Here is a 14912-nt window from a genome sequence, read left to right on the forward strand (position 1 = left end):
ACCAACACTAACTAAAAGCTAGCCTCAACTAGATCACGGTGATCTGACTGTACTTTACCTGCCTGCCGGAACAAAATTAAATTTACTTTGGAGGAAGGTATCATGCAGGGCCTCCACAATTTTTCACAAACAATACTGGAATTCAAATTTTAAAACACCATGCTTGCCCGTTTCCCCCACAAAACAAAACAAAAACAACCCAGGATCAAAAGTATAAAAACCAAAGGGGAAAAACCCCAAGAAGTCAAAATGTTCTAAGACCTTTGCCCTACCCAGAAAGTGGTAAGTAACAAAACAAAAAACTAATCTAATGCATATAATCTCTAAGGTAACTACTAAAATAACATGTAAATAATAAGCTAATGGGGGTGGGGGTAATAAAATACACTTATTAATCTAAAGAAAGCAAAAAAAAAAAGCTGAGGAAAGTAATAAAGAACAGATGAGACAGAAAAAAAAAACAGGACAGTAAATTTAAACCCAAATGTATCAGTAATTATTTTAAATGTAAACAAACTAAATGCTTCAATATATGGAACAAGTGATACACCTTAAAATTCTGGGTTTATCATAAACTCTACTAAACAGTCAATTAATGTAATTCTTTTGCACTGAGGTGATTGATAGAGCACAGTGGTGAAGACCATGAGCTTTAGAATCAACTTCTAAATTCAAATTTGAATCAAAAATCAAACACTGCAAATTCAAAGGCTTAAATCCAATGTTCTACTCCAGTTATTCAGTAAATGTATGATTTTGGCGGGTTAATCTCTCTAACCTCATTCTTAATCTTTCTAACCTCAGTTTTCCATTCACAAAAATGGAGATAACATTCAACTTTAAGGTCAAGTATTTAAAACATGTGGCACAGTGATACAGGTATGTAATAAATGATATCTGTTGTTATGTATTTGGAAAAACATTTACCTTCAAAGAAACACAATAAATTTTTTTGTTTTATTGATCTCCTAAAGTATTGCTTAAAAATAACAAAAATAATGATAAGATAATAATATTGTTAGGATTAAATAAACATACATAAAGTGCTTAAACAGTGCCTGGCACGCACCAAAGGTAAAAGTATTATTTGCTCTTTTGAGTAGCAGTGTTGGGGAGACTCAGCCAAGGAAGGCTTATATTAACCTACTTGAAGAGTTCCTAAAGAAACTGTGATCAACTTAATCTACTCTGTTTTCTTCCTTCATTATCATAATTCCTCAGACACTACATCTAGCTGTTCACTTTCAGTTTTAAGATGGTATAAAACTTAAGAGCTAAAAGGGCTCTAACATTTAAAATAATCTAATCAACATATCCTTACAGATTCCATAGATAGGTTTCAGGCACCCATAAACCCCTTGAAACTGCACAAAGTATGTGTTCTATGGTATGTGCATGCACACATGCCTGCCTCTTCCAGGAGAGAGTTCGTGAAATATGACCATTTTCCAAAGGATCTATGACTCCCAAAAGATAAGAATCAGATCTCTTGTCCAATAATTTTACAGATAAGAAAACAAGAGTCTTGAGAGGGTAAATAACTTGAGCAAATTAATGACAAAGCAGGAACTAGTTTCTTAATTCACATTAAACATTCTTCTCACTACTCCAAACTTCCCATATACATTGTCAGAGTCCACTTTATGTATACAAGTTCATTCCCTTTACTCTATCAAGATGTGATGTATTTCCGGGCTGGGCGCTGTGGCTCATGCCTGTAATTCCAGCACTTTGGAAGGCCAAGGCAGGTGGATCACCTGAGGTCGAAAGTTCGAGACCAGTCTGGCCAACGTGGTGAATCCCGTCTTTAAGAAAAATACAAAAAATTAGCTGGACGTGGTGGTGGGCGCCTGTAATCCCAGCTACTCGGGAGGCTGAGGCAGAAGAATCGCTTGAACCCAGGAGGCGAAGGCTGCAGTGAGCTGAGATTGCACCACTGCACTCCAGCCTGGGCGACAGAGGGAGACTCCGTCTCAAAAAAAAAAAAAAAAAAAAAAAAAAGAAAAGAAAAACAAATAATGTGCTCTATTTCTGACCACAGGGTCTACTTCATGTTAGGCAGTGTAAACACTGAATACTTGCCTTCCTAAACTTAATGTCATGGACTGCTAAAATCATCACTGCATATACCCAGAAAACAGTTCACAAGGCACAGCGATCAAGTTTATCATTCTCCAACCTGGGCGACAGAGCAAGACTAAGTCTCCAAAAAAAAAAAAAAAAGTTTACTGTTCTATTAATCTGTTTCAGATAGGGGCTGAAAAATATTAAATAACATTTTTAAGTAGCAAGAAAAATAAAATTAAAAAGCAGCAGGAATTTAAGGAAGGAAGAAACCCTTATTATCAGGCACATTCTTAACCTTTACAGTATTTCATGATGCCCTGGTTTCCTTGACATAAGGCCTAGTATGTGACTTCTAACTATAAAAAGATGCCGGGGTACTGGATACTGGTCAGTCATAGCTATAAAAATTAGAGCACAAATGGGGAAAGCCTGTCTTAAAAAGACCTTTCTTACAAAAGCAAAGTCAGTCAAAATGTTGAAGAGGTATAGCCCAAAAGTCACTGCATCCTGTTTCTTCTAGTACATCATTCTGAAAGCAGAGAAGGTGCCAGGAAAATTCTTAATCTATCTGTGCTTTTCCAGAATATAGTTATTTTCAAAATTCTCTAAATGTGCAACCTAGAATATTGTGAACAAACTTTTTAAAGAGCTAAAATCATCAAAATGTACATGAGAAAACACAGACCCACAGACTCCATCATCTCTATGTTCTTATCCTATCTTCTGGCCTCCAAAAAGGCACACAAATTCTCCACGGTAGCTTTAGCAAATAGCGTATAGTATTCATCTAAACTCTGCTCCTTGCCACCTATTACCTTTGGTTCACACCATGAGCAACATTTGCACTACAACGTTCACACTAATGAGCAATCTGACACACTCCTTAAAGATGCCTAAATTTTAATCTTGCATTTTATCAAGATTCCCTCCAGCCACACATTGATATAAGCAAACCTTGAACCTCATCATTAGAAGACATCAAATAACTCTGGCATTGAAGATCATCTTTTTCTTCCCACCTCTCCTACTTTGTTACACTTGAACGATCCCGTTTCTCATTCTCACTAGATCTCTAGGTCTGCTGATCCCAAATACGTAATACTTCTATTTCATGGACCATATGAGATTCACTTGCTTCCTTTAACAGCACAGACCCACAGCAACCATTTCAAAAACGCTACTATCTTAGAATTCTCCCCCACACCCAAGAGGGAAAATTCTATCAGTGGGTTTTCCTTATTTTGAACACTCTTCTCTGAGGCTAAGTACCCTGGAAAAAGGTCAAACTCTAACTGGCTCCACTATACAAAATTTGTGCCAACTCACCTAAATTATCCCCTCACAACTATAGATAATCCATTTATTTACACCTAGTTGATCACAGCACAGTGAGCATTCCATTTTTTTTCCTTGTATTAGTTTCTTATTGCTGCTGTAAAAATTACCACAAATTTGTGGTTTATCTATTCTCTTATATTCTAGAATTCAGAAAACTGAAATCAGTTTCAGCAGGCTAAAGCAAAGATGTTGGCAGGGCTGGCTCCTTATGGAGGCTCTCAGGAGCACCCATTTCCTTGCTTTTCTAGGGGCCATCTGTCTTCTTTGACTAGTGCCCCCGCCTCCATTTTCAAAGTCCATCACTCCAGTCTGTTTCTACAATCATATCGCCTTTTTTCTCTGACTGACTCTTTCATCTCTCTGGTAAGAACCAGTATGATTACATCAGGCCCAGGGGAACAGCCCAGGATAATCTCATCTAAAAATCCATAACATAATCACATCTGCAAAGTCCCTTTTGCCATATAAAGGCAATATTCCCAGGTTTCAATGATTAGTCATGGACATATTTCGGGATTAGGGGGCTGGGGAGTAGCCTACCACACTCCTTAAGGGCTCAACAACTCACATGCTTCTGTCACCCTAAACTGATGGTCCTACCTTCTACCTTACTAAGGAGACTAGAATACCAAAAGAGAGTTTCTCAGCTTCTCTCCTCTTCATAAAGTTATTTTTACACACCACTTCATCTCTTTACCCATCCTTGATGACTTTCCAAATAGCTCAAAGAAGCAGTGACCCTCCTTTCTTGGGTTACTCTCTCCCCATTCCTTTGAATTTATTCCCTCTAATCTCCTTTCAGAATAATTTGCAGAACACCTTTGCTGCAAATACCTTTGCTGCAAAGGTATTTGCAGAATACCTTTCAGAATACCTTTGCTGTTTGTGAAAATGACTGGAAATACAAATTCAAGAAGAAACACAAAAATACCTTTGAAATTCTCCATAAAGTTTTGCACAGCAATTCTTCTATTAGCCTTCTTAACAGAAGATCAAGATAGGAAATCATTTTGTTCCCTTTGACATTAACTGTAATTGCTTGAGTAGTCTATGGAATACTATCTATAATTTTCCCTTAACATTATATTCATTTTCATAGCTTGAAAGAGAAAAATGAACCAAATATTAATAAATACTTATGGATTGTATCAATAATTCAGGCTGTAATATAACGTATATAACAAATTTTCTGTAATGTCAAATCTTTTCCCAATCATTAATCATTTGAATAATTTAAAACTGAAAGTGAAACATATTAACCAGTACCAAACTATCTTATAAGCTAAACATGGAGTTATTTCTTTAATAAAAGAATGAATCGGCTGGGTGTGGTGGCTCACGCCTGTAATCCCAGTACTTTGGGAGGCCGAGGTAGGCAGATCACGAGGTCAGGAGATTGAGACCATCCTGGCTAACACGGTGAAACCCCATCTCTACTAAAAATACAAAAAAAAAAAAAAAAAATTAGCCGGGTGTGGTGGTGGGTGCCTGTAGTCCCAGCTACTTGGGAGGCTGAGGCAGGAGAATGGCATGAACCCGGGAGGCGGAGCTTGCAGTGAGCTGAGATCGTGCCACTGTACTCCGAGACTCCCTCTCAAAAAGAAAAAAAAAAGAATGAATCAAATTAACGTATGTAAGTAAAGCAGGGATTACAAACTCTTAATGCTTTCAGGAGCCAAACAGGTAATGCAAGTCTCAAGCATTAGGAAGGGGTGGAGTGGCAGAAACTAGAGGCCACATGTTCCATCAAGAGAGATGTAGAGTTGATTTTTGCAACACCGAACCTGCCAAACAACAAAGTTATGTGGGACAAATTTTGAACAATCGTTACCTCCATGTAACCTGTGACTTTATTTACATTTTCAAGAGGCAGTGTGTCCCATAGTTTAATGCATAACATTTTAGACACAGACACCTCCTTGTTAAGAGTAAAAGTCAGCTAGGCCGGGCCTGTGGCTCACACCTGTAATTCTAGCACTTTGGGAGGCCAAGGCGGGCAGATCACGAGGTCAGGAGATCGAGACCATGATGGCTAACACAGTGAAACCCCGTCTCCAGTAAAAATACAAAAAAATTAGCCGGGCGTGGTGGCAGGCGCCTGTAGTCCCAACTACTCAGGAGGCTGAGGCAGGAGAATGGCGTGAACCCGGAAGGCAGAGCTTGCAGTGAGCCAAGATCGCGCCACTGCACTCCAGCCTGGGCAACAGAGTGAGACTCCGTCTCAAAAAAACAAAACAAAACAAAACAAAAACAAAAACAAAAGTCAGCTAGCTGATTAGGTAGTAGGTGGGCAGACAGTGAAGTTTCTTCTCTCCTCCTGCTCTGGGCCTAAGATCTGAAATCCCAATAGTTAGAGCCAGTAACCACAAGAAACCTGCATAGTTGGTAATATAACCTAAGAGTCTAGGTTGAGGGTAAAAGTCTTACAAAAAAAAAAGTGGAGATGTCCACAGAGAAAAACTTTTTTGATTTCTGAAAAATTAAAAGCATATTTTATCTTAAATGAGGTATCGGTTAGAGAGGTGCATATGTTTGTCAAAAATCATTTTGTACACTTTAGTTCATTTCAACATACATTAAATTTTACCTTAATTTTAAAATGCACTTTTGGTTGGGCACAGTGGCTCATGCCTGTAAGCCCAACACTTTGGGAGGCTGAGGCGGGTAGATCACTTGAGCCCAGGAGTTCGAGACCAGCCTGGCCAACATGGCGAAACCCCATCTCTACCAAAAATACAAAAATTAGCCAGGTGTGGTGGCATGCACCTGTAGTCCTAACTACTCAGGAGGCTGAGGCAGGAGGATCACTTCAACCCAGGAGGCGGAGGCTGCAGTGAGCAAAGACAGCACCACTGGACTCCAGCCTGGGCGACAGAGCAAGACCCTGTCTCAAAAAACAAAACCAAACAAACAAAAAAACCCCATAAAAATGTACTTTTAAGTAGATTTTAATTAAGCCTAGAACACTACACATAAAAAGGCAATGTAAGTAAATGAAGGATATGAAAATTTAAAAAATTTATCTTGTAGAACATGAAGGTATCAACACTTTCTTTTTGAACCTAAAATAGCCTTTTTTTTTTTTTTTTGAGATAAGAGTCTTACTCTGTCATCCAGGCTAGAGTGCAGTGGCATGATCTTGGCTTCCTGCAACCTCTGCCTCCCAAGTTCAAGCAATTCTCCTGCCTCAGCCTCCGAGTAGCTGGCATCATAGGCACGCACCACCACACCTAGCAAATTTTTTGTGTTTTTAGTAGAGATGGGGTTTCACCACACTGGCCAGGCTGGTCTCAAATTCCTGGCCTCAAGTAATCCACCCACCTAGGCCTCCCCAAGTACTGGAATTACAGGGGTGAGCCACTGTGCCTGGCCTAAAATAGCATATTTTTAATAAGCATTTTTAAAAAGTGTAGTTTATTTAAAAAAAAAAACATACAATATAACTCTGCACCAACTCATTAAAGATATATGTAAGTGCCTAGTTTGTACAAGGAGCTGTGGTAGGTATTAAAGACATAATAGTACACAAACACTGTTTCCATCCTCATACACTCCACTGGGCAAACTACACACTGAATAGTTGGTTAATGACTGTGATAAATGTTGCAAAGGAATAGTACTAGGTACAATGAGAGCAACTGCAGCCAGTGGGGAGTACGTGGGTCAGGGAAAGCTTACCAGAAATATAAGGTAAGACATAAAGAATAAGTAGAGCAAGTGACATTAAAGAAAAAAAAAATTCTAGAAACATTTCCAGACAGAAGATATGTAAAAGAATTCCAAGATGAGAGATAAGGATTTCAACAGGGCAGTGACATGATCAGATTTGGCTTTAAAATAGTAATCCTGGGAGCAATATGGAAAACAGAGAAGAGCCCAGTGAACACTGTAAGACTAGCAACACTGAATATTTCAAGAGAGAAATGAAGGTGGTTTGATGTTGAGTAACAGACAATAAAGAGAAAACTGGAGAGTCTAGCAACAGATGATGTAGGGAGAAAAAAAGAACTTATAAGAATAATTCTCAGGTTTCAGTATGATAGTGATTATCAACTGAATGATAGTGATTATGAGCTCATTTGGACATGCCAAGTTTGAAGTACTTCAGAGAATGAAGGCTCCATTAACTAGACAAATGCATATATGAGTCTGAATCTCAGGAAATGAAGCTAGAGACACAATTTGGGAATCATCTGCACAGAGGCACATGAAGCTACATAAGGTGAAGAGAGTGTACCATGAGAAGAACAACTAGGACTAAACCCCAAGAATGCCTCTATTTAAGGGGGGATGGTGGGGGCAGTTAGTAGTCATTGAAGGAGGAGGAGAGGCTAAGAAACAGTAAGAAGGTAGGTAGGAGGCATACAAAGAGAGTTCTTTGTTACAGAAATCAAGGAAACATGTTAGAAGAACGAAGGAATGACCAACTGTGGCAAATGCTGCTTAAAAAAAAAAAAAAACAAGGAGAATGGGGATTAGCAGTCTCTCTATTCTGAGATGAAAAGATACCATGGTGATACTAGTAAGGGCAAAACTTAACATAATAGTTGAGGTAGAAGCTTAACTGTAATGTATTCAAAGTGTATGAAAGATGAGAAAAGGAAGATGGCAAATGTCAACATTTCTTACAACACATTTAGTTATGAATGACACACGACAGATCCTGGGAGACAGTGCAGGGGTTCACCAGAGAATTTAACAGAATTGTATTCTGAGGATTGAGTGAGTGGCTTGAACATGTTTAATGCTGGTTGAGTAAGATCCAATATGAAAGGTAGAACCCTAAAATACTTAAGGTTCATGACAAGGTAGAAAGGGATTGACCCATAGCACAGGTTGAGATGTGGCCTGACAGAAGAGGACACCACCCTCCACTAAAAGAGGAGGGAAAAAGAAAAACATAAAAGGGGAGAAAATACAAGTAAAGTTCTAGATTTAGCGGCAAAAAATGAGCATAGTTCCTACCTGATGCTTTCTCTTTTCTCTGAGAAATAGAAAGTAAGATCATTTACTACAAGGGAGGAAACCCAAGGGAGAGATGGAGGTCTGAAGAGAAATAACTGCTGGAGCAAGCTGACTAAAGAAAAAGAGTGAAACTGCTGGGCAGTGTGAAGGGTTGACCACAGGTCTGTGATGCGACAAACAGTGAAACAGTGGCATCAATCTACCCTGTATGAATTTTCAGTTCATGCAGCACTGTGGTACTACCGAATGGGTTTGATGAAAAGATGAAGGGACAAGAAATAATACCAGTTAATCTCTAATGAGCATGTTACTATGGGCCAAGCCCTACAAGTGGTTTACATGAATTGTTCCACTGAAGCCTCATGACTACTCTACCCAATATTATTTTCATTTTATAGATGAGGAACCTGAGGGGTGAACTAATTAACTTCTTGACCATGTGTAGAGTCAGAATTCAAGGTTTGAGATTTTGTTGCAAAAAAAAAGAAAAAAGAAAGAAAAAAAGGGAGGAGGAGGACTGAAACAAAACACACTTTAAAAATAACATCAGAGTCTGCGTGTGTATAAAATTTTAAAGTTCTTCTTTTGTCAAAAGAATAAACCGTAAGATTACAAGTGGTTTTCTATCTTAATGTTAGATAGTTAGGATGCGATTTAAAGACTCACCATATCTAGAACTTCGAAAACAACAAGCTAACTTATTTCAAATTTATATGCCAGATAATATATGTTGTCACATACCATCTCATTTAACTTCAAAATGATAACACAAGGTTAATTTATAACCGGATGAGAAAAATAATGCTCAGAAAAGCTAAATAATTTGTTATACCTTTTATCAAATCCCTTAAAAGTGAAGTGGCCTCTCCCTGACCCCCTTGCCACTAAGCCCTTACAAAACCAGGGGTAATAGGCCTGACTGAATTCACAGAGCAGAACAAAAAACTTTACAGCTGTTTGTTCTCATTGGAAATTCTTCCCAAACATTGCTTTATTCTACCAAGTAAAAGAAACTAGGACAAGCTCTCATCACTACATTAAAACTAAAAAAACTAGAAACAAAAATATAAAAAGGTAAAACTTTGGGAAAAATAATTATATCCAATACACAAACATAAACACTGATGTAAAACAAGTCATTAACTTATTAATTTTGGAGTGATACAGTAATTAAACTTAATGAATCTAGCGTCATTCTATAGCACCAAATTTTTTTTAACTGGAATTTAATCTCTCTGAAAGTTATTAAACAGCTGAGATCAAAGTCAGTGTTTTCCAAATGATCTTGCTGAACAGGATTTTTTTCTTGACTGATGAAAACAAAATACAGCAATAGCCGGTGAAAAATGGAATATACATGTGAAGAAGCTAATATCCTTAAACAAGACTAGCTGCAATATTGCACTGCAATAATATACTATTAAGAAAAATAGATGGCAGCTATGAGTGTATGATTATCAGAAAAAATAATTGTATTAATATGACATCCTCTCTCACTGAAGATGTAAGAATTAAGGATTTAAAAACTTGTAAGAGAATATTCAGCTTTTGTTTCTCATTGTCATTTAACAACTCTTAAGGAGATGTTAATATGGTTTTTTCCATATTTTCCATTTTAAAGGACAAGTGCTAAATACTAAGAAAAAAATTAAATCATTCCCTTTCAGTTTCTCATTCTAAGCATTCACTAAGTATGTGAACAATTAAGATTTTTATTCATGGCCGGGCACAGTGGCTCACGCCTGTAATCCCAGCACTTTGGGAGGCCGAGGTGGGCAGATCACCAGGTCAGGAGATAGAGACCATCCTGGCTAATGTGGTGAAACCCCGTCTCTACTAAAAAGAAAAATAAAATAAAAATAAAAATAAAAATAGCCGGGCGTGGTGACGGGCACCTGTAGTCCCAGCTCATCAGGAGGCTAAGGCAGGAGAATGGCGTGAACCCGGGAGGCAGAGCTTGCAGTGAGCCGAGATCATGCCACTGCACTCCAGCCTGGGGAACAGAGCGAGACCCCGTCTCAAAATAAATAAATAAATAAATAAATAAATAAATAAATAAATAAATAAATAAATAAATAAAGATTTTTATTCACATAGGCTTCGGTTGGCCCTTACAAAGAAAGTACTGTTCATTTAAAAAACAAAAACCACCTTCCACACTGAGACGTACTATAACTAAGTTAGACAGAAAGTCATTGTGTTTTGAAATGTTTAATTTCTTTTTGAGACGGAGTTTCACTCTGTTGCCCAAGTGAGAGTGCAGTGGCACGATCTTGGCTCACCCCCCGGTTCAAGCGATTCTCCTGCCTCAGCCTCCCAAGTAGCTGGGATTACAGGTGCCCACCACTGCACCTAATTTTTGTATTTTTAGTAGAGACAGGGTTTTGCCACGCTGGCCAGGCTGGTCTCAATGTCCTGACCTTAAATGATATGCCCACCTTGGCCTCCCAAAGTGCTGGGATTACAGGCGTGAGCCACCGTGCCCAGCCTTCAACTTCAAATGCTTAACTGCTTAAAGGAAGAAAACATTTAAAAAGCTCTACTTACCATGTACATTAGTATGTCTCTAATCATCACCATAGCTGTTTGATGATCATTCCAAGCTTGATTTAGCGTTTGAAGAAAGTTGTTATTCAATGAATTTAGTACATCTTCTCGCACCTAGTAACAGAAGAGTTCATTAGTTTGCACACACACATCCACACACTCGTATATACAGGCATGCACATATCTGTTTAATAAAATAATGAAGTGGAATCTTTAATTTAAATCAAAGAAATGTTATAGGCTAGTAGAAATATTTTAAGCTATAACCTATACACAGAAGAGTATCAAATGTATATGTATAGTACAGACTCCTCTTCTGATCTCCAGAACATAAATCAACTTCCTAGGTATTTCCCAACCCTCCAGTGACTTGACATCATTGTCAGAGTAAAATCCTATATTCTTATAGTAAGTTACAAGGGCCTGTAAGACTGGCTTCATGCTACTGCTGAATTTCCTACTACACCTTCCCTTCCCCAACTTTGAATAATGGTTGAGAATACTGATTTTGGAGTCAATTACCTGGGCTCCAATCCCAGCTCCCTAACAAACTGGGTGACCTGGGATAAATATTTAACCTCTGTGCCTCAGTTTCCTTATATGTGAAATAGCATTCTTCTTGTAGGATTGTTTTAAGAACTGAATTAACGCTAGCAATACACTTAAAACAGTGCTTAGTACTCCGTAAACACTCTATAATAAACTACTCAGTACACTTCAGCTACAATGGCCTCTTTACTAAATACAGCAACTGTGCTCTGCCATTCCTTCTGCCTCAATTCACATGGCTCGTCCCACTCACTTTATTTTGCTCAAATTTCATCTCTGGAGAAGTCTTTCCCAACCAATTACTTCAAAGAAAGCCTAGCTCTACTTCTTCACCATACAATTTGTTTTTTGTCATAGCATTCATCATTACCTACTATATTAGTTTATTTGTTTATTGTTTCTTCCACTAAAATGTAAATGTCTCCATGGTGGCAGGATTTCTATCTTTTCCATGTGTATATCCCACACCTAGAATAGTGCTTGGTATATATAACACCATTTATTTCATATCCCTGCCCTCCAATGCCATGATTCACCTCCAACATAAGCACTTTCAGGATTACCTGCTTTTGCACATAAAGTTCCCTTGAGCCTGAAATGTCTTTCCAATCCAACCCTAATAAAAGACTATTCAAGACTTCAAAAATTCCTTTCCACAGTCCACAAGCTTAGTACCATCCTCTCTGATAAAATGTTATTGACCACTACTCTTTCCTGCTATGCTATCTGCCCAAAAGAAAGACCATTTCACTCAGAAACAGAATCTAGACTCTGGTTCTTGTTTTATCACAAAGTCGTCGTGTGTTTGTCTCCAAGTTCCTGTAACACTTTGGGACTATACTGCCAACTTCTACAGTTATTCAAATCCAACCAACCTTCCATAATCCAGCTAAACTCTCAATAACTCTACACTAAACAAAACTTTTTTATCTCCAAATATCCTTTACCATAGAGAATTTCTAATAGTGGTTATGCTTTTTCAGATTGGGAAAAAGCTGAAGTCATGGTGCTTTCTGAGAAACATCAACTATTTAATGTATGTTGAGATATATAGACACCTCTAAAACAATTATAAATACACATAAATAAAATGCCATTCTGTATCAGATCTAATATGAACAAGTGGCTAAAAGTGCCAAAGAAAATACACACAACACACTGTGGAAGAATAAATTCAAACTAAGAAAACAGAATCTTTTCCTACATATTGGGGAAAACGAGGTTATTAGATTTAATGATGAGACAATATATCTAGTCTACTAAATATACAGTATAAAAATCACTAGGCCTGTACCACATAATTTAGAATTTTATCATATATTTAATCTTTTGTTCACAAGACTAAGCTCCATGACTTCAAGTTACATCACCCAGAAATTCCTCCAAAAATGTTAACTATATCAAGTTAGTTAATGGAAATACTTATACAAAATGAATAATGTATCATTTGTTTCAACTCATTAAATCTAGCACTTGTCAGATACAAATCCCAACAAAAACCCAGCAAGCTGAAAACGTGCTTATTTTCAAAATTTTACACCAAGCTTCATATTCCTTTACTGAAGAGTAGCAATTAAATTAAAATCATGACAATGCAAGAGCAATCTACGCTACATACAAAAAAAATACGTATTTCAAACATCAGAATATCAAGCCCATTAATTATTCTTAAGGACTTATATGAACTTCTACATACCGCTATATTATAAAATTAAGTTAAATGTTAACTACATTAAAATCACCCTGAATTTGGAACACGTAAATGTGCCTGCATATTTGTTGAATGAATAAAAAATTGACCAATTAAATAAAAAGTTAATGTTACAAAATAAGGCATGTTCTTTCAAATCACTGATTTGTACATTTTATAAAAAAATATATCAAGTATTTACATATTTGTCATCATATTTATACCTGCCTTTCAGCAAAATAAAACGTGATCTCCTAGTACAATGTGTCATAATTGCCTTGTTTGCATCATACCTCAAAAAATTATCCTGACCAATAACGGTGAATTTTACTAGCAGAAAATAGCTACAATTAAGAGCTAATTTTGTTTATTTTTCAATTATGCATACACACACACACAAACTCATGACTGAAAGAAGTAAAATGAATGCCTTAGATACACTGCTGCAATGTCTTCTTATTCAGATTACTCTATGAACAAAAAATTTTTCCTCCAACATTTCTGTAGAAAATTAGTTGAAAGTGAACAGATTATTTATTCAAACATACACAATAAAATGGTAGGAATGAGATGAAGATTATGAAGATTAAAATAGGCTTTTAAAAAGATGGTTAAGTTGGCACATAAACTACACATTAAGTGAAAAAAGGATCTTTATTTTACAAATTATTAACATCTTATAAAAAAATTGAAAAAGAAAGCAAGCATGGGAAATATGGTGGGAGGGATAACATTGTTAATCTCATGGCCTAACACAATCACCTACTTTCTGCACCAGCAAGGCAAATGGGAGGGAACCCTGCTGTACAGGTAGTACCAGAACCAAAACAGCCTATGGATTAAGTATGAACAGATAATTAAAGAAAACCTATACTAAAATTACACAGATAAAGAGTTGGAATTTGAGGGGAGAGACATGGAAGAACAAGTAGCAACACCAGAGAAATTGAGAGCAGGATGGGACCAGCTGTGACAAAAAAGATGAAGTGCAAGTAATGGAGAACTGATGGCTGTGCCTGGTACTAGCTTTGCAAAGGAAGAAAGAGAAAGCTCAACACAGTGGATCACAAATCAGGCAGAAAATTAGAGTCACCCGAAGAGCTTTTACAAACAGATTTTAAGTACGATGCAGTAGTGTGTCCGTGGTCTCAGCTACTCACGAGGCTGAGGGGGTAGGATTGTTTGATCCCAGGAGTTTGAGGCAAGCCTGGGCAACACAGCAAGATCCTATCTCTAAAAATAAATAAGACTTCAGTGAAGAGAATGAGAAAACAAGCCACAGACTGGGAGAAAGTATTTGCAAAAGACAAAGCTAATAAAGAACTATTATCCAAAATATATAAAGAATTCTTAAAACTTAGAAAGTAACTCAATTTTTAAAAAGGCAAAAGATCTTGACAGACACCTAACCAAAGAAGATATACAGATGGCAAGTAAGCATTTGAGGAGATCATAGGTCATTAGGACACTGCAGATTAAAACACCAATCTGATACCATTACATACCTTTGAGAATGGCCAAAACATTGACAATACCAAATGCTAGCAAGGACGCAGAGCAAAAGAGTATCTCATACACTGCCAGTGGGAATGTAACATGGTACAGTCACTTTGGAAGGCAGTTTGGCAGTTTCTAACGAAACCAGACATACTCTTACCATATAATCTGGCAATCACACTCCTGAGTTTTTTCTTAAATGAGCTGAAAACTTACGTCCACACAAAACCCCACACACAAGTGTTTAAAGCAACTTCAT

At 37.3% G+C, this 14912-nt stretch overlaps 1 protein-coding gene across 7 annotated transcripts in view; it reads right to left on the reverse strand.

The window, feature by feature from the left end:
- CUL3 (cullin 3) overlaps positions 1 to 14912 on the reverse strand; it is a 115214-nt gene that overhangs the window by 54461 nt on the left and 45841 nt on the right. For all 7 annotated transcript variants that reach the window (NM_001257197.2, NM_003590.5, NM_001257198.2 and 4 more), the window contains one exon: positions 10918 to 11031. In NM_001257197.2, coding sequence (NP_001244126.1) covers positions 10918 to 11031 — 114 coding nt within the window. The remainder of the gene's footprint in view (positions 1 to 10917; positions 11032 to 14912) is intronic.

This window comes from Homo sapiens, chromosome 2 (assembly GCF_000001405.40).
Source record: "Homo sapiens chromosome 2, GRCh38.p14 Primary Assembly".
Taxonomy (NCBI): domain Eukaryota; kingdom Metazoa; phylum Chordata; class Mammalia; order Primates; family Hominidae; genus Homo; species Homo sapiens.